This window comes from Homo sapiens, chromosome 6 (assembly GCF_000001405.40).
Source record: "Homo sapiens chromosome 6, GRCh38.p14 Primary Assembly".
NCBI lineage: Eukaryota > Metazoa > Chordata > Mammalia > Primates > Hominidae > Homo > Homo sapiens.
In genome coordinates, this window is record NC_000006.12 from 164,437,290 (window position 1) to 164,460,249 (window position 22,960).

At 36.9% G+C, this 22,960-nt stretch overlaps 1 long non-coding RNA gene across 1 annotated transcript in view; it reads left to right on the forward strand.

Moving 5' to 3' along the window:
- Positions 1 to 284: 284 nt before the first annotated feature.
- LOC107986667 (uncharacterized) overlaps positions 285 to 22,960 on the forward strand; it is a 90,129-nt gene continuing 67,453 nt past the window's right edge. Inside the window, exon 1 of the long non-coding RNA XR_001744460.3 lies at positions 285 to 533. This is a non-coding gene — a long non-coding RNA (uncharacterized LOC107986667). The remainder of the gene's footprint in view (positions 534 to 22,960) is intronic.

Here is a 22,960-nt window from a genome sequence, read left to right on the forward strand (position 1 = left end):
AGATACTTAGAATAAACGTGGTGCGTAAAATCTCTCTGAATCTCTTCTGTTCATCCAGTGGAAAAAAACTATCAAACTTTGCACCCCACTGCTATTCCAGCTATTGCTATTTCAGCTCAACTTATAAGGGGAAAGATGAATTTACATGAGACCTGTCACGGGGAAAAAAACTTTCAGCTACATGCTAGTCCGGTCTATAGAAAGGGCTCGTTTCTTAACTTACTTCAATCATCTTAAAAATCAGCTTCTTTTTGACCCATTCATTCAGTTTTATGAGAAAATGCCTCAAGTTTTCCACTGATTTTCCTCTTTGTGTCTCCATCCAATGTTTATTTTTTCCACAAACAACTAGGTATGACTGATATTGTTTCCCTGTTTCTCTCCCATTCCTTTATAGATAAGACCCTCTCCCTGTCCCTGAAATGAACAGTGCACCCAAAGCAAGATTGAAGCTAGGCTCTAGCTGCACTTCTGCCATTCATTGGATGTGCAAACTTCTGCAAAATACTGATTTTATTCTTTGTCTGCAAAAGGTATTTTGATTTTTCACTTAATTGCAAGATTCCTGTCAGTCATTTTTTATTTTTTACTATTTTGTCTTTTAAAATAAAATATCTCTATTTTATTCTTGACTGTAAAATGTAGATGTTGACTTTTTGGTTAATTGCAAGATTCCTGTCAGACCTTTTTTTATTGTTTACTTTTTGTCTTGTAAAGATTTTCTCCTACTGATAAAACCAAACATTCGCTTTTTTGGCATATATATCATTGTGAAGAAAACTCAGCATTTATGCACATGAATATGGCTGTAATTTATGACCCCTAATCTGAAGTGGGAACTCAACTCCACTCACCAAACATCCAATAAGCTTCAAATTTTTGTGCCCCCATATGCTGCAATGACCGTCTCTCACTACATCTTCAAGCCTCAAAACTTACATCCAACAGAACCCAACAAGTTCAGTAGACAAATAGCAGCCTCCAGATGAAAACTCTCATATTTCCACCTATAAAATGGCATGGCCTCAGCCTCTGCACTGAGCTTTTCCTTTCAGCCACTCCTTAAGCGAGGCATCACTCCTCTTACATGAGATCCAACCCTGCAGCTGTGCCGCACCCTCATCTCCACAAACTCCCAAAGGGCTTCCCAGCTTCAGTGTACCCCTGTATTTCTGACATCATCAGTTTCTACATCTCTGTGGAATCATTACTATCATATAGATAAGTTGTGGCATGTTCCAACTTAAATAATGTTTCTTCCCTCTGACCAAGTCCATATGCAGCCACGATCCATTGTTTTGTACCTTTTCACAATTAAACATCCAGAAATGATTTTCTATGCTTACTTTCTCTACTCAACCCTCATCCCATCAACTCCCAAACACACACACACACACACACACACACATCCACTGATACCATTCTTGTTAGGATCACTGCAATGTCATGTGACCCAATGAAATGGTGTGGTCTGACCAACTTTAATTTGTTCTCTTGGCCGAATTGATCTGAGCAGTCCTCCCGCTCAGAAACCCAATCTTATCTTGGCTTTCATGAAATCACAGTCCCCTATTTTTACTTTTACTGTTCTCGGTGTTCTTATCTCATTCTTGCCTGCCAATTCTAATTTCTCTACCTGTCGTATACCGATAAAATTTCATAGAGCTTAATCATGGTCTTATTCTCTGCCGTTTTTATTTTTTAATCTCTTGGTGGTCATATTCATATGACTTTGTGTCAATATTTATATGTCGAGGATTCCATAGTTGTGTGTTCAATTCAGTTCTCTACTTGACAATCTCCCTTTGATTGTCTCACAGACAACTCACGCTTTATAAAGAGTCACTTTCTGGAGAAGCCTGCCCAAGCCACTAAATTCCTTCCCTTCTTCATATCCATTGTGTTCCTCTGTTAACACTTATCAGAATGTGTGCTAATGTATTAATTGGGCTATACTTTTATTTTTGTCTGCCTGCTTGTTTTAGTCTGTCTCCACTACAACACAAAAAGTGTTGCAAGTGCCAGGGATCACCTTTTTGGCTAAAATTGATGTACACCCAGGGCTTAGCAGATTGTATAACACACATTGCATATCACACACTCAATAAATATTTGTATGTCCTATGGATTTCAGCAATGAGAGGCTTTCCATTTAGCAACCTCTTTATGTGTCCTAGATTGCTAGAAAGTGTGAAGTTTAGGATATGACTCTTTCCCGTTGCAGAGAGCTTTCCCATGTGGTCACTACAGATGAATGCAGGGAAAAGAATTCGGAAAGAATCAGTATCAAAACAAATAAATTACATGCAATAACAGCTTCTATTCTTCCTTCAGCAGCACTTGTGAGGAAGCCTTTGGTCCGTATCACATGTGGAATGATAAACAATGTCAGCTAGGGAGGGTCAGGGGTGCGACGGGGGTGGCTCTGGGCAATTCCTGGCTACCTTGGGACTGACTTTACCTGTTTTCTCCCATTTCAGGAAGTTTCTCAGCATGTGTGTGAGATAATTTTAAAATTTGAATATGCTCTAATGTATAGGAAAATACAGCAATTATTCCCAAATATTTGTTTTTATAAGTTAATGACTTGTAATGAGCTGGAGGCACATCACGGTGGATCCAGACACACTGATATTCTGCGTCAGAGGAGAACTTTTTGTAAATACCCAGAAAAATTATCAATATCTTTACTTCTCAATAATAATTCCTAAAAAATATAGAAATACTTAAATGCAGCAATTGGTAGCAAGCTGATTAGAGCTGTAAAGACTCCCTGTCTGGATCTAACCCCTGAGCTGATACTGTCACAATGTTTAGAAAAAATAACTTTTTCTTTTTTATTCTTCTATTTTTAGTCTTTTTTTGTCTCTCTGTGAAGCTAAATTTCATTGAAACAGCCCGATTTTTCATCTCAGAAACTCTATTTTTAGGTAATTAACTAGTGAATGCAACATTTGATTGAATTTTATTAGAAACTTTTTTCCTGACTTAGCTGGCCCCTGAGTAATAAGAGCTGGCGGTGCTCTCTCTCTCTCTCTGTCTCTGATTATATTAATTAACTCACTCTTACTCTGCAAATTTAATATAGAACAAGTATTTTATCCAAACTTAAAAAAGTTACTACAGGTTAAAATGTTACATCATTTTAGTAAAATAAGAATAACAAAATGTGTCTCCCTATTCCCTATCGAGAAAGTGAATCTTATAACCATTCTCAGATACCATTTCTATTATCATGGGAAGGATTGCTTCATCGATGCCATTTTCTCTTCTTATTACCATCTAGGAATGAAGGAAGCAGAGTAATAGATGATGTGCACATTAAACCAGTCGAGAGTACCCTTTGCTGCTCGGCCCTTCTGCACACTGTACTACCTTTTAATGAAAAGAGACTTTCCATTTGAAGTAGTCCTCCTTATCCTTACCATCAGTCTCCTTCCATTTGAAACCTGCCACAGGGTTGACGGCTGCAATCAAATAGACTAAGTGTTACTGCTGCCCTGAATGCTCAGTGTCCTCCCCTTCTTTCCAGAGGCCCTGGATGGTGCATCCTCTGAGCTAGGTGCCCAGGAGAGCCTGAGGTGGCTCCTCAGCTCCAGCCTCCCAAGTGACAATGAGCTCCACAGAACCTTGGTGGAGAGGAGGATGTAATTTGCATCTGTAGCTTGCAGGGAATGTGTAAAAGAGCCCCCAACTCCAGCTTGTGTAATAGAAAATTACAGAATAGACTGATATTTCTAGCAGAAATTCAGCATGTGAGCAAATTACCAGACGTGGCAAAAAGAAAGCTAAATTAAGAGAAAGGTGTAGGTAACCTTAAGAAAAGAAATTACATTTTAAGACTTTCAAGAAATATATTCTGAAGTCAGCTCATGTAACTGGTACTCTGCTGCATTTAAAATACTTTTGTCCCTGTTTCCAGGTGGGTAGTACTACAGATTTGCCTCTGCAACTGAAAAGCCATTCTTTATATGTGGAAGCAGAGCACTTAAATGTGTTCTAATCATTTTCAGAATGTAGTGTTTATTGGCTTTGCTAGTCTGTAAGTAACTTGTTCAGAGAAAATGTTTTACACTTCCGTTTTGTGACTGTGGTCCTTGGCACAAGACCTAATTCATAGTTGGTGCTGAGGATATATTTATAAGAACTGTTTTTGACATACCAATCTCTTGATGGTCTCCAAATCCATTTTGCAGGGTCGGTGCATACTTTAAAAGGTAGGTAAGCCCCATGCCTATTCTTTACAAGTAGCCCGCCATTATCCTCTGATGGAGAGAGGAAAATCCTTCTCATTTTTGCATGATTACAGGCAGGGGCTGACAGTGGATGGGGGAGTGGAAGAATTTGAATTTCTCCTAGCCATCTGTGTTTCTGATTTTCTGCGTATATGGAATTTGCATTTCATCTCCTGTATATGCTGACCATTTTTCATGAGTCATCGGCAGCAGAACACCATTGCAGTGGCTGAAGTGTCACCAGTGCCATGGTGAGAGGTGAGCTGGCTTGGGATGGGCTGGTATGCACTGCAGCTCAGCACAACCATGGCAAGTAATAATGGGCCCTGCATCCCAGATGTCTTTTTTGCTTCATGCTTGAAGTAAGTTGCTCATTGCTCCTCATTACAGACCCAGCCTCCCACCATGTGGCTAATTCCCATTTCTTCCTTTTTGGATCTCCCCCTGTTACTTCCCAAGACCTGTCAACTCCCAAATCCACCATGTCCTGGCCAGTTATTATGCACAGCAGTTTCAATTTCTCTTCCTCTCAATCCCAGTGCATCCAGCTCATGGCCAATTCTGATATTTAACTAAACAAAAATAGTTCACTCCCTTAACTGGCTCCACTGGGCTAGCTCTTCGGCATATTATTTGTATCCTTTGTATTTTATTAACTACAGGACATAGAGAAAGACTGTAAGAATTACATTACTTATTGTAAAAAAATGCAAGTTTATTCAAAGAAATATAGAAAATAAAGAGAAGAATGAATGGAAAGATAAAGATCCCAATGTCCCATCACCTCCACCTAATCCATTTTAATATTTTGGCAGGTTCTATAGCTGAATGTTTTTGTCCCCCTAAGGCTCATATGTTGGAACCTGCTACTCCATGCAGTAGTATTAAGAGATGGGTCGTTTGGTAATTTGGTCATGAGGGCTCTGCCCTCACAAATGGAATTAGTGTTCCTTATAAAAAGCTTGAGGGAACCTGCTTGCTCCTTCCCCTTCCTTTCATTACATGACACAGCCTTCACACCCCTCTTCTCTCCCATTCATATGAGGACGCAGAAGCAAGGTGCTGGTGAGGAACAGGCCCTCACCAGACACCAAATCAGCTAGTGCCTTAATCTTGAACTTACTAGCCTCCAGAACTGTGAGCAATACATTTCTGTTGTTTATAAATTATACAGTCTAAGGTATTTTGTTACAGCAGCAGGAACAGACTATGATAGAAATTGGTACCAAGAGTGGGGTGCTGCTGTAATATGTACCTAAAAATGTGGAAGTGGCTTCAGAGTTGGGTAATAGGTAGATACTGGAAGAGTTTTGAAGTGCATGCTGGGACAAGCCCATATTGTTGTGAAGAAACTATAAAGGATGATTCTCGTGGGAGCTCAGAAGAAGATGAGGGTGTAGAACAAGCTTGTCCAATGCATGGCCTGCTGGCCACATGTGGCCCAGGATGGCTTTGAATGTGGCCCAAGACAAATTTGTAAACTTTCAGAAATATTATGAAATTTTTTTTGCAATTTATTTTTAGCTAATCAGCTATCGTTAGTGTCTAGCGTATTTCATGTGTGGCTCAAGACAATTCTTTTTCTTCCAATGTGGCCCAGGGAAGCCAACATATTGGACCCCCTCGTGTAAAGACAGGTTAAGTCTTCTTAGAGATTACCTAAGTGGTCCTGATCAGGATGTTGGTAAAGATATGGATGGTAAAGGCCATTCTGATGAGATAAATAAAGAACATGTTATAGGAAACTGGAGGAAAGGTCCCCTTTATAAAGTGGCAAAATACTTGGCTTAATTGTGTCTGTGTTCTAGTGTTTTGTGGAAGGAGAAACTGATGAGCCATGAAATCAGTTATTTGGTGGATGAAATATTTAAGCAAAATGTTGACGGTGCAGCATGGCTTCTCTTACTGCTTATGGTAAAATGTGAGAAGACAGAAATACGGATGAAACTTATAACCATAAGATTAATCTTTAAATCTTAATTTAAAGATTAAGAAAATTCTTAGCCTGGCCATGTTGTAAAGGGTGAAAAAGTGTGTTTGGTGGAGAACACCAAAGGTGTGGCCAAGCAATCATTTGACAAGGAGATTAGCATGGATCATTGGAAGCCAGGTGTTATTCATCAATAAAATGGGAAAGAATGACCCCAAAGGCATTTTGGAGATTATCAGCACTGCCATTTCCATCATAGGCCCAGAGGGTCAAGGTCTAGGGAACAGGGCAATGTCAAAAGAGGAACTTCGGCCCTGGGGACCTCACCCAAGCCTCTGCTTATGGAATTCCAGGGCAGCACTTCTCTCTTGCCCCACATGTAGCTGCTGTGGGCCCAGGTGCAGCACAGTGTGCAGTGGCAGCCCTTCAAGAGAGCATAGGTGATAAACCTTGGCAGTGGCTGCAAGATGCCTTCTCCACCGGTGTGTAGAGTGCACAGCTGTAGGGGCACAGCTGCCTCCACGTACATTTCAAAGGATATCCCACAGAGCCTCAGGGCCCAGGCAGAGAAAGGCCACAGCACCTGGGCTACTACAGAGATTCCCTGCTAGGGTATTTCCCACTGGAGCCCTGGGGGCAAGACCACTGCAGAGAGTCCACTCTAGGACAGTGTCCAGTGGAGCCATGGGGTGTGACTTCCTACAGCCTTGGGGGCCTACCCTTCCGCAATGAGTCCTAAAGGTGGCACACATCAGCAAAGAAGGTTATTCTCAAGCTTTAAGATTTAATGTTGTTCACTATATTAGATTTTGGAATTGCTTAGGGCTAGTTATCCCTTTCTTTCTTCCTATTTTTTCCCTTTGGAATGAAAATATTTATTCTATGCCTGTCCCACCATTTTGGAAGCACATAATGTACTTGCTTTCACAGACGCACAGCTGGAGGAGGATTTGCCTCAGAATGAATTACATCATGAATTTCACCCATATCTGATTTAAATGAGATTTTGAACTTTAAACCTGTGGTTGGTGCTGGAACAGGTTAAGACTTTTTGGGCTAATCGGATAAAATGAATGTATTTTGCATGTGAGAAGGACATAAATTTTGGGGGTCCAGGGACAGAATGCTATGGTCTAAAAGTTGGTGTTCCCTGGAAATTCATATGTTGTAACCTAATACTCAATGCCATAGTATTAAAAGATGGGACATTTAGGAGGTGATTAGGTCATGAGGGCTCTGCACACCTTTATAAGCACCTTACAAATACCTTAGTGGCTCATAAAAGGCTTAAGGGAGCCTACTTGGCCCATCTTCATTTCTGCCATGCAAGGGACACAGCAAGAAGGCAGCACCTATGAGGAGCCAGCCTTCACAGATACCACATCTGCTGGCAGCTTGATTTTGGAATTTCCAGCCTCCAGAACTCTAAGCAATACATTTCTGTTGTTTATAAATAATACAGTTTAAGGTATTTTTTATAGCAGTAGACATAGACTCAGATAGTAGATTATCTTCCAATCTTATAAATCATTTGTAAAGTGCATGCATGATTCTTTTATAAAGTATGGATTATAATGAGTACAGTAAGTCCTCATTTAATGTTGACCATAGGTTCTTAGAAAGTGTGACTTTAAGTGAAAGATGTACAGCAGGTCCGCAAATAACATTGTTTCCTTCAACATTGCTTTGTTCTAACAACTATGAGAAAAAAATTGGTTTTGTTATACATCAGTTTGTGTAAAGTCCCAGTTTCCAAGAACCTTTGAACAAGGTTAAATGAGAACGTATTTTGTATAGTTTTATTTGAATTACCCTTTATATTATGCTGAGCATTTAATTATGTAATTATGTTTTCAATGTTAAAAATCTCAACTTTTTAATGTTTTATTATACGGAAATAATGTAATTTTTCACTGTTCTTTTATTATTTGACTCAACTTTCCCAGTTCCCCAAATTTTACTATTATACTAATGCTGTTGTCAATACTTTTAATTATTTTTTTTCTTTCAATATATTCTTCAACCTTCAAGGAAGTTGCATTAGTTAGGGTATTGATTAAATTTATGTAAAAAATGCACAAAATACAAGTGGCTTATATGAATTAAACATTCATTTCTCTCTCAGATAATAGAGCAGTCTCAGGGAGACTAAGGTAGGTGAGATAATCCAAGTTTTCCTTCTCTATGTCCATGTTGGCTGCTTTATTTGTCATCAAGCTACAGGGAAAGAAGGAATGAAGGACACAAATCTTTCTTTTCAAAGAGTTTGTTCCTTAAATTTCATATGCCATTTCCATTCCCAGCCAACTGGCCAGAATTTAGTTTTATGGTCTCATGCAGCCACAGGAATGCAGTCTCTGGATGGGTGGCCACAGTTTAAACTGGGGTGCTGGTAGTGTTTGGGCAAGTGAAGGGGAGAATAGAAGCTGGGGAGCAAGTAGCATACCCTAATGTCACAGGGTTGTTGGATCAAAGTACTGGATAATTTTTCTAATTCTTGAAACATCTTTCCAAATTAAACTCTGAGATTGTTAATTTTATGTGTCAACTTGACTGGGCTAAGGAATGCACAGATGTCTTGTAAAACATTATTTCTGTATGATTCTGTGGGGGTTTTTCTGGAAGAGATGAGCATTTGAATGAGGAGGCTGAGTAAAGAAGATTCGCCCTCACCAGTGTGGGTGGAAAGCATCCAATCCATTGAGGGCCCAAATAGAATCAAAAAGCAGAGGGAGGATGGGCGAATTCTTTCTCCTTGAGCTCTGCTCCTCTTCTGCGCTCAGACACTGAAGCTCCTACTAGTGATATCAGAATCACAGACTTAAACCACAGGTGCCCCTCAGTTCTTAGGCCTTTGGCCTCAGACTGAATTACATCACCAGCTTTCCTGGGTCTCCAGCTTGCAGACAACATGTTATAGTACCTCTTGGCCTCCAAAATCATATAAATATATGATCATGGGAGTCAATTTGTGTAATATAGCTCTCACCATCTCTGTTTCTCTAGAGACCCCCAACTAATACAACTCTGCAATATTTGCATTTCTCTGGACTCTGACTGTTTTGTTTCAGATTTATTTTTATTAAGAAGTAAGATTAAGCCTATTTTCACATTTATTAGTTGATTTTATTTCTTCTTTAGCTCATATCACTTGCTCAACAATAAATATATGTTTTTATATACATTTCTTTGAATATCTCTAATATCTACGAGGTTTCTGTTTCTTTTGGCTTACTGCCTTGTCTTGAACCAGCCATCCCATTGCACTTTATTTTCTTTCTCCTATGACACTTAGTCTTTTTCTTTATTTTAATAATTGACCTAGCTGTCTCTCTTTTCTATTTATACACCAGCACAGGACAAGTTATAGTAGTCAGAGTTTAAAAAATGATCTTTTTTAACTTCATAGCACTATATTACATGGTAAGTTTGATTTTTTAAATTGTTTAATTTACAGATGCGTAAATCATTGCAGGTTGTTTACTATTTGGAAAATCACAACATTTCCTTACACTATGCTAATATCATCTTCGCATGTGGGAAGAAGTGAGTGAATTGCTCAGTCACAAGAGATTAAAATGTTTTTATCACGCATTTATTATTAAGAAATTCTTTCATTGGATTTACTCTTTGAGGATTACCTGAATAATCATAATCCAAGTCCCCTAAATTTGAATTAGAGAAACACAAACAGTGGTCGATCTGCTTCCAGTTAAATTTCCCAGTTGCTTTGTCATATGCTATTTTGTTTTCTTTACTACTATACCTCCAGATAATGTAATAACACCTGGAAGAAAATAGGTATAAAATATATATGTGTTAAACTCATTGTTTAATGAATGAATTATTGTGCATTTCTTTGAAAGTTCTCAATAATAAAAGAAGTTCATAAAAAAATTAGTTTGTCATTCTGATTAAGTGCTGCCCAAGGTGGGTTGCAGTGGATCACATGATGCAAGGAGATTTTAGATTCAAAATATTTGGAAAATATCATAAATGTTCAATTTTTTGGAGCGCTATAAAGGATATCAGCATATTATAGATCCTAAAATGTCACGTAGTAAAATTATCTTTTTAATTAAAATTCTAAATGATTTTTTGCCATACATATGTGTGTATATATATATTTGCATATTTAGACACACGTGTGCACACATGTGTATGTATAAAAACCCACAAACATAATTTTTTGAAAATCATTTTAGAAAATATGTCCTAGGTATTTTTTGATTAAACATCAAGTAATGAATTTCTTGTTAATTAATGCAAACACACATGGATATATTTCCTGTGTCAATCACTAAATATGGACAGCTTCTGAATTACGATAGTTCAACTTAAGATTTTTGGGCTTCATGGTGATGTAGAAGAGACATGCATTTAGTAGAAATTGTATTTTGAGTACCCATACAACCATCCTGTTTTTCACTTTCAGTGCAGAATTATGTAAATTATTTATGTAATTTATTCAACACTTTATTATAAAGCAGGCTTTGTGTTAGATGATTTTGCCCACCTGCAGGCTAACGTAAGTGTCATGAGCATGTTAATAAGATAGGCTCGGCTAAGCTGTAATGTTCAGTGGGTTAAGTGTACTAAGGGCACTTTTAACTTACAATATTTTCAACTTAGGACTTTTTTTTTTTTTTTTTGAAACAAGGTCTTGCTCTGTCACCCAGGCTACAGTACAGTGACCCCATCTCAGCTCACTGCAGCCTCCACCTCCTGGCCTCAAGTGATCCTTCCATCTCAGCCTCCTGAGTAGCTGGGACCACAGGCACACACCAACACACCTGGCTAATTTTTATATTTTTTGTAGAGACAGGATTTCACCATGTCGTCCAGGCTAATCTTGAACTCCTGAGGTCAAGCAATCCACCCATCTTGGCCTCCCAAACTGCTGGGATTACAGGCATGAGCCACCACACCCGGCCAATATGATGGGTTTATTGGGACATAGCCCCATTGTAAGTTGAGGAGCATCTGTATCCATATAAATGAACAAAATGTAGGGTCACCTCCACTATGGACAACCAAACACTTTCAATCTATTCCCCTACAATTTAAGCCAACAAAAGTCACCTTCTGTCTTATTCTAATAGATAAACTCTTCTCTCCATTTCTATTGTTACCAAGCTAATCTAAGCTCTAAATAACTTCCACCCGATCTGCCCCAATCTACTCCTGATGGAACTCACAAATTTCAGTGCACTCTCCACATTCAAATGAGTACTTTTTAAAAACTATATTTTGTGTGTGATTTTAGTTCTGAAAGATTTGTTATGACACCCTCCTGCTTTGGGATTGAACTCCAATCTTCCCAGGATGGTATCAAGAGTCATTCAAAATTAATTTTGATTTATCTTCCTATTTCTTTATCCATCTTGGTTCTCACATGCCTCATGCTTTTTAGAGCAAGATGTATTTATTATCCATAAGAATCAGATGAGTTGTTTCATAAAAATGTAGATTTCCAGATTGCCTCCCCTGATACCTGGAGCCATCAAGGCTGAGCACTGTTTCTCCAAAACGGATCTGTGTCTCCAAAGCTTATTGCATTTCCACAGATCCCGGAATATGCCATGAGCTCTCTTATCCTCATATCCTACCATAAGCTCTCATATCCTCATGCCTTGTTCAGAACTCGTACATCTACTCGTATCCCCTCCCTATTGTTCTACTGAACTTATACTGACACTTCCACTATTTCTTCCAGTGTGATACAGTTAATAACTTACTCTACCATTTTTCTCCTTACAACACTTTTTCTCTCTTAGTAAATTTATTTGTTTCCTTTATTGAAGTGTAAGTATTACATTTGAATCACTTAGTTGGGATCCACAGTGCCAAACTAAACTTTCCAGTAGGAAATAGAAATGCAATGGCTATTTACTAAATTACTGTTAGCAAGAACTATAAATATATTTTGTTCCTGATTTAAAAAAAAACAAACACAATGAGGTGTTTCCGCATCTGTGCTTTAGTGTGGTGAAGAAAAATGACAGTTACGGATCAGCATTTATGTTATTTGTATATAATGTTGGTTAGACTTTCTGCCTCTCCAATTGTTTTCCATAAAATATTTTTCATAAAATCTTGTCTCTAAAGTGGAAAAAGTTGTAAAAAAGGACACAATCAAAGAAAAAAACCTAATTCAACATGACTCCATATAACTATTTGTTTGGAAAATGTTTTTATTCTTTAGTCTTTGTTAACTTGCTTTTCTCATACAATTGATAAGAAAGAAACATAATTGCTCTTCACCTGAAGAGCCCCCATGCCACACAGATTTGCAATAGGTCATCTATTTATGTCACTAGAATCTAAGCTGCCTAAGTCTTTGTGTTCTGTCTGGTTTAGTCAACCAGATATGACCAGTTTCTGGCACAATGCCTTACACATAGTAAATGCTCAGCAAATTAAAATCCTGTATTTTAGAGGAAAAGTGGAGCATGCACAACCCAACCATATATCATTTTAAGCATTTAACTCATTATTTCTCACAGCAATCCTATAATAAGAGCTATAGCTATCTTCTCCATTGTACAGCTGAGTAAATTGAGTCACTGAAAGAAAAGGAAATTTGTCTGAAGTCACAGTTGAGAAGTATCAAGAGGTCGGAGTTCTACCTGGTCATTGATGCTAGTCTGTGTTCTAGGTCTCTGTTGCCTCCTGATGCTAGCAAAAATGATGGGAGATCCTCAAATTATACTTGGGCTGAAGTTAGGACACAACCTCACATAACAGTTTACTTCTTGAGAGTATTGCTCACATTTTCTTTGTGAGTCCATGGCTTCCCCAATGTATAAGTAGAAGTACACTTCTTATTCTGCTATATCCTAAACCCATCCTTGTTTTTGAGTCACTTCTGACCAATTTGGTGTTATATCATGAGGATAAACCCACCTTTGGTGGAGTAGTGTGAACTCGTCTTTCATTTGAGAAACAAACTTGATGTGCCTGAGTAATTCTGGGAACTGCATGTCTCCAGAAATGCCATCCCCTCTTCTAGCTATTTTTGACTTTCTCTGGATATTTGCATGGCTGAATTTCTATCTTTTCTTTCTTTCTATTTTTTTTTTTTTGAAATGGAATTTTACTCTTGTTGCCCAGGCCAGAGTGCAATGGCTGATCTTGGCTCACTGCAACCTCTGCCTCCAGGATTCAAGCGATTCTCCTGCCTCAGCCTCCCAAGTAGCTGGGATTACAGGCATGCGCCACCACTCCTGGCTAATTTTGTATTTTGGGTAGAGACAAGGTTTCACCACGTTGGTCAGGCTGGTCTTGAACTGCTGACCTCAGGTGATGCACCCGCCTCAGCCTCCCAAAGTGCTGGGATTACGGGCATGAGCCATCGCTCCTGGTTTGAGTGAATTTCTGACTTGCACTGTTAGGACTCACCACAAAATAGGAGGGCTGCTTTGCAGTGATGCACTTGAGCATGGCTCCAACACTCTGTGATTTCCCTTTTTCTTTCACGTAGGCATGAAGTGGAGTCTACTCCAAAGAGATGGATCACTCAAGATCACAATGCCATATTTATTCTTCTTGGAGAGGCCTATTTAGTGAAAAGGATCAGGCATTTTGAGGAAGAAATTCTATAACAAATCAAGAACTTGCCAGGTCCAGGTGGAAAGTCAAGTGGTACTGTTAACTAACTGCTTTGTGAGTCAGTACCCTGGTGGGTCCTGCAGTATGTCTAGTGCCAGGTCTACCTGTTTCCAGCTTTCAGTTCTGCATCACTGTTCCTTATTATTTGTGATTCAGCACACTAGGGGCATGTTGGGAGCCCTTTGAGATAGGCAGGGCAGATAATATTAATTCTTTAAAGAAAAGTCATGCTCAGACAGGTTAAGGGACTATAGAGGTGGGAGATATTGACTTGAAACCAGTTCTGCTTTCATACCATTCATTGCATTATGTAGAGGATAGGACTGAAGATAAAAAATATGCAGCAGTCCTCCACCCCCTTATCTACAGTTTTGCTTTGCACAGTTTCAGTTAACCATACTTAACCATAGCCCAAAAACATTACATGAAAAATGTAAGAAATAAAAACATTCATAGGTTTTAAACGGCACACCGTTCTGAGGAGCATGATGAAAATTTTACTGTGTGTATTATTGTGTAGGAAAATCATAGTGTATCTAGGATTTGGTACTATCTGCAGTTTCAGGCATACACTGGGGTCTTAGAATATATTACCCTCAAATAAGTGGGCAGGGGACTATTGTATCTCCAATGGTAAAAATTTGATACAATTAATTTATGATTAAATAAGATGGGAGTTGAGTCCATTCATTCCTACATATCAGAATGTACTATCAGTGCTGTATAATATTACTTTATTTATTTATTTATTTTTTGAGATAGAGTTTTGCTCTTGTTGCCAAGGCTGGAGTGCAATGGCATGATCTTTGCTGACTGCAACCTCTACTTCCTGGGTTCAAGTGATTCGCCTACCTCAGCCTCCCAAGTAGCTGGGATTACAAGCATGTGCCACCCCGCCCAGCTAATTTTTGTATTTTTAGTAGAGACGGAGTTTCACCATGTTGGCCATGCTGGTCTTGAACTCCTGACCTCATGTGATTCACCTGCCTCACCCTCCCAAAGTGCTGGGATTACAGACATGAGCCTGCACACCCGGCCTATAATATTACTTTCTATGTCAATGTAAATATTATCTTCAATATAGTGACTACTATTCACATATGACTAGTACAACTTAGAGACTGAATTTTTAAATTTAGTTAATCTTAACTAGTTTAAATTTAAATATTTAATCTTAACTAGTTTAAATTTAACTAGTTTAAATGACCACCATATTTGACAGTGTGGTTCTAGATTCTTACAGTTATGAAAATGTAGCTGATGAATACGAAAAACAAGAATCAATCTTAGGACTCAACAATATATGAAGCAATTTATTTGAAGCAAAAGACATTAAATTACTATTTAAAAACAAACTCAGGCCCAAAGTGTAAAATTGTTGACACTTTCCAATAAAACCTAGAAGTGACTTCAGACCCAGACTCTATTAAAAATAACAGAACAAGGGTTTGGAAAAAGAGGCAAAACAAAAGAAGAACTGGTTACAAGGTTTACCACAGAGCAATTAACATATCCCTGGGAGGTATTAAAGGCAGCTATTTACATTTCATAACAAAATTAAAACCTAAAACCTTTCAGTATTTGTCTAATGTGCATACAATTGAACACATATTAATTTCAGCTCATTCCAAGTTACATAATTAGAAAATTCTAGTATCTTTGGATAGTTCTGTAACAAGTCAGGGAAACTACCCAAAGTTTTCAAAAGCCAGGCAAATGGAAACACTTTTAATATTTATAATATGAATTTCACTATGGAAATCCCACAATAACTATTAGAAAATGCAGTATTTTCAGTATGAATTATTTATGTGACTTACACTTCCATACTGCTGCTGATATGATTTATCTTAATTTTACTGAGTCATTCAGCACCATGCCTCATGATGTCCTTGTGTACCAAATGAAAAATACATATATATGAGTTGCTAAAAGAGCAGATTGAACAAATATATGCAAAAAGTGTAGATTCAAGGGTCATTTTTTATTTAGAGGAAAATCACTTATGTAAGCAGGGGGTTCTGTTTTAATCCTTGAACTGCTTTCCATTTTTGTCAAAACTTGTAATATGATACATAAACTACACGAAGTTGGTAGGAAGTGCTATTATGGATGCTAGAATATAATGCAAAATACACTGACCGAGTGGATCAATAATCCCGTACAGTACAGACAAAATTTAACAGGCTCTGAGTTTCAAAAAATTGTAATAAAATCTCTTTCCATTGAAGATGTCCTGGCTGAAAAAGAAGACCTAAAACTTACTTTAAAATTAAAATGGAATAAAAAAAAAAAGATTGGCTAAAACTGCTAATACATACTTACCAAACAGAATCAATCCAAGTTGTGTAGACTGTCCCTTTCCTATTTGTCCCTACTGGAATTATGGTGTTCAGCTCATGTCCAGGAGAAAGGGAACAAGATCATGGATATTCTGGAAATAAAGGCTTTCGAGTAGTATCTTGCATTTTTCTCAACAGATTTCAAGTGTTGAACCGTTATAGAGGAACAACGCAAAGGACTAAAATAGTCAAGTAAAGTTGTATGGATGAGAAGAAATGTAACGAAGGGAGTTCATCAAAATGTAGTCTTCTAACCCACATTGGTTTGCTAGATAGCATTTAAATTTGAGAGCTTGACTTTGAGGTTGAATATTTAATTTCGACTGAAGAGGTACATTTTAGTGCTCTATCCAACTTCCTTTGGTGTATCAAGGATAGAATCTAGATTTTAATGTCAGGTGGCTCTTGTTTTATTTCAGTTTCATTCCTTTTTTTTTTTTCTTGTATTCTCCTAACAATTCACAATACATATTCTACTATCTTTTTATATTTAAGTCTCTGTTGGCTACCTACATTTGCCAAATAGAGTTTGTATTTTCCCTATATAGATTTCCAGTTGGTACAACACTGTTTGTTGAGAAGACTATCCTTACTCCGTTAAATGAGCTTGGCACTTAAAAAAATCTGCTGATCATGCATATGTGGATCTATTTTAAGACTCGATTTTTTTTATTGCTTTATACGAATTTACCACAAGGCTTTAATTACTAAAACTTTATAATTATTTTGGAATTCAAGTATTTTAAATTCTCCAACTTTGCTTTATTTTTCTCCCAAACTCCTTTTCTTGGGTTATTTTTTCATTCCACATACTTTGAAAATAATACATTTGATAATTTCTACAAATAAGTCTAACAGAGTTTTGATTGCGAGTGCAATGAATAAAAAACTTAAAATGTTAAAATTATTGAGGGTTTCAAACCATGAACATGGTATTTATCTGCCTTTATTTAGGCTTTTTAAATTTTTCTTAGCAGTTTGATTTAGTTTTCAGTGTATAGCCTTTACATATTCTGATTTTTAAAAAATCCTTGAATGTTTTATGTTTTTGCAGGTATTTTAAATATAGTTTTTATAAAATAATTTTTTTTAATTTATGGGAACATGATTATTGAATGTTTACCTTGCATCTTGCAGCCTTGCTAAATTTACTTATGAGTTCTAATAGCTTTTTTTGGCAGATTCGTTAAAATTATCTATATACAAGAACTTACTACCTGTAAATAAAGACCTTTTTTTCTTTGTGATTACTAAATAAAACAAAATATCAGATATGACAAAACAGCCAAAAATTTTTCAAAATAAATAAAAGGCAACGAACCGCAAATCCAAGAAGCTCAGAAATCCTCAAGCCAAAGGAACAGTAGGAAAAAATTTACAAAAAGAAAAAAACTAGACATCATTTAAAAATTTAGAAATCAGGCCAGGCGTGGTGGCTCACGCCTGTAATCCCAGGACTTTGGGAGGCTGAGGCGGATGGATCACGAGGTCAGGAGATTGAGATCATCCTGGCTAATACAGTGAAACCCCGTCTCTACTAAAAATAGAAAAAATTAGCTGGGCATGGTGGCAGGTGCCTGTAGTCCCAGCTACTCGGGAGGGTGAGGCAGGAGAATGGCGTGAACCCGGGAGGCAGAGCTTGCAGTGAGCCGAGATCGCGCCACTGTATACCAGCTTGGGTGACAGAGCGACTCCGTCTTAAAAAAAAAAAAAAAAAAAAATTTAGAAATCAAAAGTAAAGTAAAAATAACCATGTTGAGCATGTTTTTATGTGTTCATTTCAATTCTTCTTAGAAGTGTCTCTGCAAATTATGTAAAGGAGGTTTTCACTGAGTAAAGAATTACTGGTTGCTAGTTTTATTTTCAATACTTTCAAGATATCAGCTCCATTGACTTCTTGGCGTAATCTGAAATTAGCATTAAGCTGTGATTATTTTATTTTTAATCTGTACGTTGTGTTTTCTTTTTCTTTGGCTGCATTTCTGATTGTTTTTACTTTATCTTTGTTGTCTTTTATTTATTTTGGAAATGTTCTGCTATTACTTCTTTATTCATTACTCATGGTTCATTCCATTTATTTCCCTTGGTGGGGGGTGGGGGGAGTATGTTCTAATTATACATCTGTCACATTCTTTGTCATTTTCTCTGAGCTGTTTGATACTGTTTTCTTCTATTTTTTCATTAAAAAAAGTCTCGCCTTAACTTTTTTTGTTTACATTTGGATAATATTTGTTGACCTATCTTTAAATTGACTAATTCATATTTAGCTGTATCTCGTCTGCTACTAAGTTGACAGAAATATTTGTCGTATTTGATATTGTGTTTTATTTAGAATTTTATATCTAGCTTTTCCATTTTACTCTTTTCCTTAAAAAATTTTTTTCCTCTGATAATATTTTTCCATCTCTTTAGGCACGTTGTTCACCTTTCCTATGAGTTTTTTAATTATATTAATCATAGTGATTTTAATATGGGGGAACATAATACAATCCATAACGCACCTCTTCCTTTTTATAGAAGTAAAAAGGGGCCACAGATGTCGTTCCTACCAATAAAATCACAAAGTCATTGGACACACATTTTGCCTGCTCAGTACTGCCCCACCAGTAAACCGGAAGACTGCAGGGCTTAGAACCGTCAGAGGATTGCTTTGCCTGTCGGTGTCTTTGAGTTCTAGCATTGTCTGGACCAGTCAGGGATGCTGCTCATACAGCCTTTGCCACGCTGCCTCTGACACCATCACCCATGGCTCCGCTTGGTGGATGCAGCACTTGCTGTAGCCTGTCTCTCAGTGCGCTGCTGGCCTGAGAGACCAGCAGCGCCCCTTGGATCAATGCACCTGCTCTCCTTCCCGGACCTTGTCTTTTTATTTGAAAGAAGATAGAGAAACTGATCTCCCTCCACTATGTTCTGCTCCCTTAGAAGGGAACCACAGCCAGACTGCATGAGTCCTGAGCTAGAACATTATTTAGGAAGACGAGTTCTTTTTTTTTTTGTTTCATATCTACTGATACATGGAGATGTTGGACCCGGAGCCACGGCACACTTCCATTCCTCAGATCCTTAGTTGAGTCTCATTCTTCATTCCAGGCTCCTCATTCATTCAGCTGCTATTTACTGAGTATGCAATGTGCTTAAGAGACCCTAATAATAACTGGGTTTGTTAGTTTTCTATTGCTGCTATGTAACAAATTACATTATTCTTAGTGAACCCTGAATTACAGTATATTTGCCTTCCGAGCCACTGGAAACTGCTCCAGTCTCTGGACAGCTTCTCATCCTAATAGCATCTGATTTCAGAAATGGTGGTTTGAGGGGGAAATCTGCCTTAAAGAGCATGCTCACTCCTATTGGAATCTCCTGTTTTGAGTCATGTATCTACAAACTCTCACTCCCTTGAAAACTTTCAAATTCCTTCAATCACTGATATCTCTATTTATAGCTATAGCTATATATGATAGCTCTATATATTGGTATCCATATATAGATAGAGCTACATATGTTATCTCTCTATGTATATACACATATGCATACATGATATACATATCTATGTCTAGATAGTATATAGATCTATTTCTAGATATAGATGTATCTATAGATATAGACTCTACTTTGATTTTAAAAAGAATTTATATTTGGACCAGCAAGGGCATGTGCTAAACTGATGAAAGTGTTCATTTCAAAGGGCTGAACTTTGATACTTTATAGAATAAAATTTTTGAATATGAATGATAAATATATGTAAATATTATTTAATATTCTAACAAATATTCTTTACAGAACAAAATGAATTAAAAGTCCTTCTGGAAGAAAAAGATAATGGATATGTAAAGGCATACTTCATTTACTATTATGAGAAAACAACTAGATATGCATAGCTGTCTCCAGTTAGCATCCTATTTTCACGGTTTGAGGAGTAAGGTGCAATTAGGGTTGATGGTTCTTGATAGTTTTCCAAGAAAAAGTGATTCTCCACTGTTTTCCTTCAGTTTACTGATGTACAAAGACATTATTATACTGATGCTATGATGCAAAATAAATAAAATCAAATATACAATAACTAAAACACAGGAGATGCTTAAGTTTCTCTCTTATCAGAGATTATTTGAAACACATGCTTTCCTACATAATGTGTTAAATTACAGGCATCTGACACAGTGTGATATCCAGAGGCTTCACTTTGCTGTTACAAATTATTTCTTTAAGTACTTTCTATATAGAATCACAAAATACTGTCTCATATTTCTTTGAATATGAGTTTCATTGAAGCTACTTGACTGTAATCTCTTCTGTAGCTGGATAATAACTCATTCAAAATTCTCTCAGCAACTCTACTTGCTAAAGAGCTTTGAACATAGGACTAGCCTGATTTGCATTTGGTAGATTATATTTTGTTCAAAAACTAGAACTATCATGATAAACCAGTTTTAACACTTTTTCCAAGCTGTTGTAGTAACCGTTCTTTTTTTAACATACCATTGCTTGGCTAATATATCATGTATTCCATCCTTTGAACAGCTGGCATGATACCTAGAATAGATGCAGTGCATTGATTCTTGGCCAGTGGGAATTACAAGCTGGCACCGCACATAACTGGATAAGCAATAACAATAGCAGATGAAGATGTCTCTGCCTGATTCCAATGGAGACCCTCAAGGAAGCCAAAACTCATGATTTTATTTTTTAAATTTATCCAGATCCTAAAATATGACTGAATGAAAGAATACCTGGAATATCTCTCTACAACTAATAGAAGAACTGCTAATTCATCTTTTGGTATCTTACTAATTACGCCTCTCAAAAATCTGTGGACTATAGATAAATAATGAGAGATTGGATAATATTGACTGCTTTCAAATCAACTTATATAATATCTTTCCAAATTCAGTAATGTGTCAGACTTGTGAGCCAGGTGGATTCTGATGCAAAAGGGAGCACCCTGAGTGCTGCTGACAGGATTAATGAATTTCAGCCATCACCTGTTTGAGTACAGACAGTGGAGGTGGCAGGGCAAGCTGTGACTTTGACAAGATTAAGTACTATTTTTCATAAGACGTACTAACCTTATTTCCAGGAAGAGTTAGGTTTATATAGAGTATACTCTAGTAAGCCAACAGCCTATAGTACTTTAGAAATATAAGAGCATTTTGAATGTAAAGAAAATGAATCTAAATCTCTATCACATATGTATTTTTGAATACATTTATGTATTTGAATAAGTAATATTATGTCCCAGCTCAATCATAACAGTGCCTCTGTAAAGAAAATTATATGTAATCTAGCACTACAGAAAGCCATCTGCAAAAGAATTATCTTAAAAAGAGACAGAAAATTAATGATTAGCTCTGTGAAACACATTCATAGAATAATGTAATTTTAGGAATCCTTTAGTCCAATACCTTTAATTTACATATGAAATGGTCAAAGCCTAAGCTCATAAACAGAATTTAATGACAGGGCTATGAGCGTTAGTCCTCTATATTTCTGATCATATCTTTTCTTTCAAATGACCTTGGAAGATCCACTGTAAACTGACATTCATGGAACCCTCCTAGGAGGACTGCATTTCAAACTGGGAATAAGGATACATGTGGCTCTTTAATTTTATGCATTGACATAATTGCAGAATTAGAGCCATTCTATGTGAACTAAAAGATTTTCTATACTGAAACTATAAACAGAACAAAACATAAAGGTAATCAGTGACCAAATATCAATAGTAAAGGAAATAAGTCTGAAGAAAATATAACTCAAAATGTATTGTAGTGATCTCTAAATGAAATGTAATATTCCTATGTGAGTATTCACTAATATATGTCCAAAAGTTGTTTTGAAGTGAAAGAAAACACAAAAGCTACAACATACCAGCCACCCCCAAAACACCAAAAAGACAAAATGGATTGCAGTACAGCCTCTATCCTATTTATGCAAAAAATGTTGGATGAATAGAATAGCATGAAGTCCAGAAAGAGATACACAAAGAATTTTCCTGTGATTGCCACCGTGGAGTGGAATTAATGGAAGGAGGGGACATTTTTCTTTCCTGTCTTAAAAAAATCTTTACATTTCTATTTTATTTCTTATACTTATGAAAGTCTACACATTACTTTGTCATACTATCTTATTTTAAAGTGCTACTGTTTTTGAAATGTGTAATCTGAAGAAGTTAATTCAGTGAATTACCAAATAAGGATATACTTTTGCATACAACAATTGCAAGCATTACCTGAATGATAGAAAATATATCAGAGAGATTAGGAAATGTGATAGGCTCCTATTCAGAAGCAGTACAGTAACAGTTATTCCAAAGGAAGCACAGGTTCAAAGTAATTATTTTAGAATGAAAGAACATTGTTATCCTGGGTTATTGGCAAATATCTTTAAAATCGCTAATGTTAAACTAATGGTTATATGCTATCGTTGATCTATAAGAATCTCACCAAGCAGTTTGCCCTAGACAACTATAAATTCCCCCAAATGCATGTGTCTAAATCTCTGGGAAGACACTGTCTTGATATATGTACCTTGTGAAAACATTCATACATAAACACAATTCTCTGATCTTCTTTCTGACAAATTCATTGTCTTCCTCAGTCTTAAGTGGGCACTAAATTTTGAGATTGAGTTAACCTTGTTCTCATAGGTTGCACAGCTGGAAATGTTAATGTCTTCTTATCTAACTGTTCTCAAAATGAAGCTATAATATGAACCTCAATTATCCCCTGGGTAAAAGAAGCACCATATATTTCCTGAAGTAACAATAATTGTTATTACTTCAATATTCTTTCTCTTCAATTAGATAAGAAGTCCCCAGGAACTGATGACTGCATTAAGAGCACTTG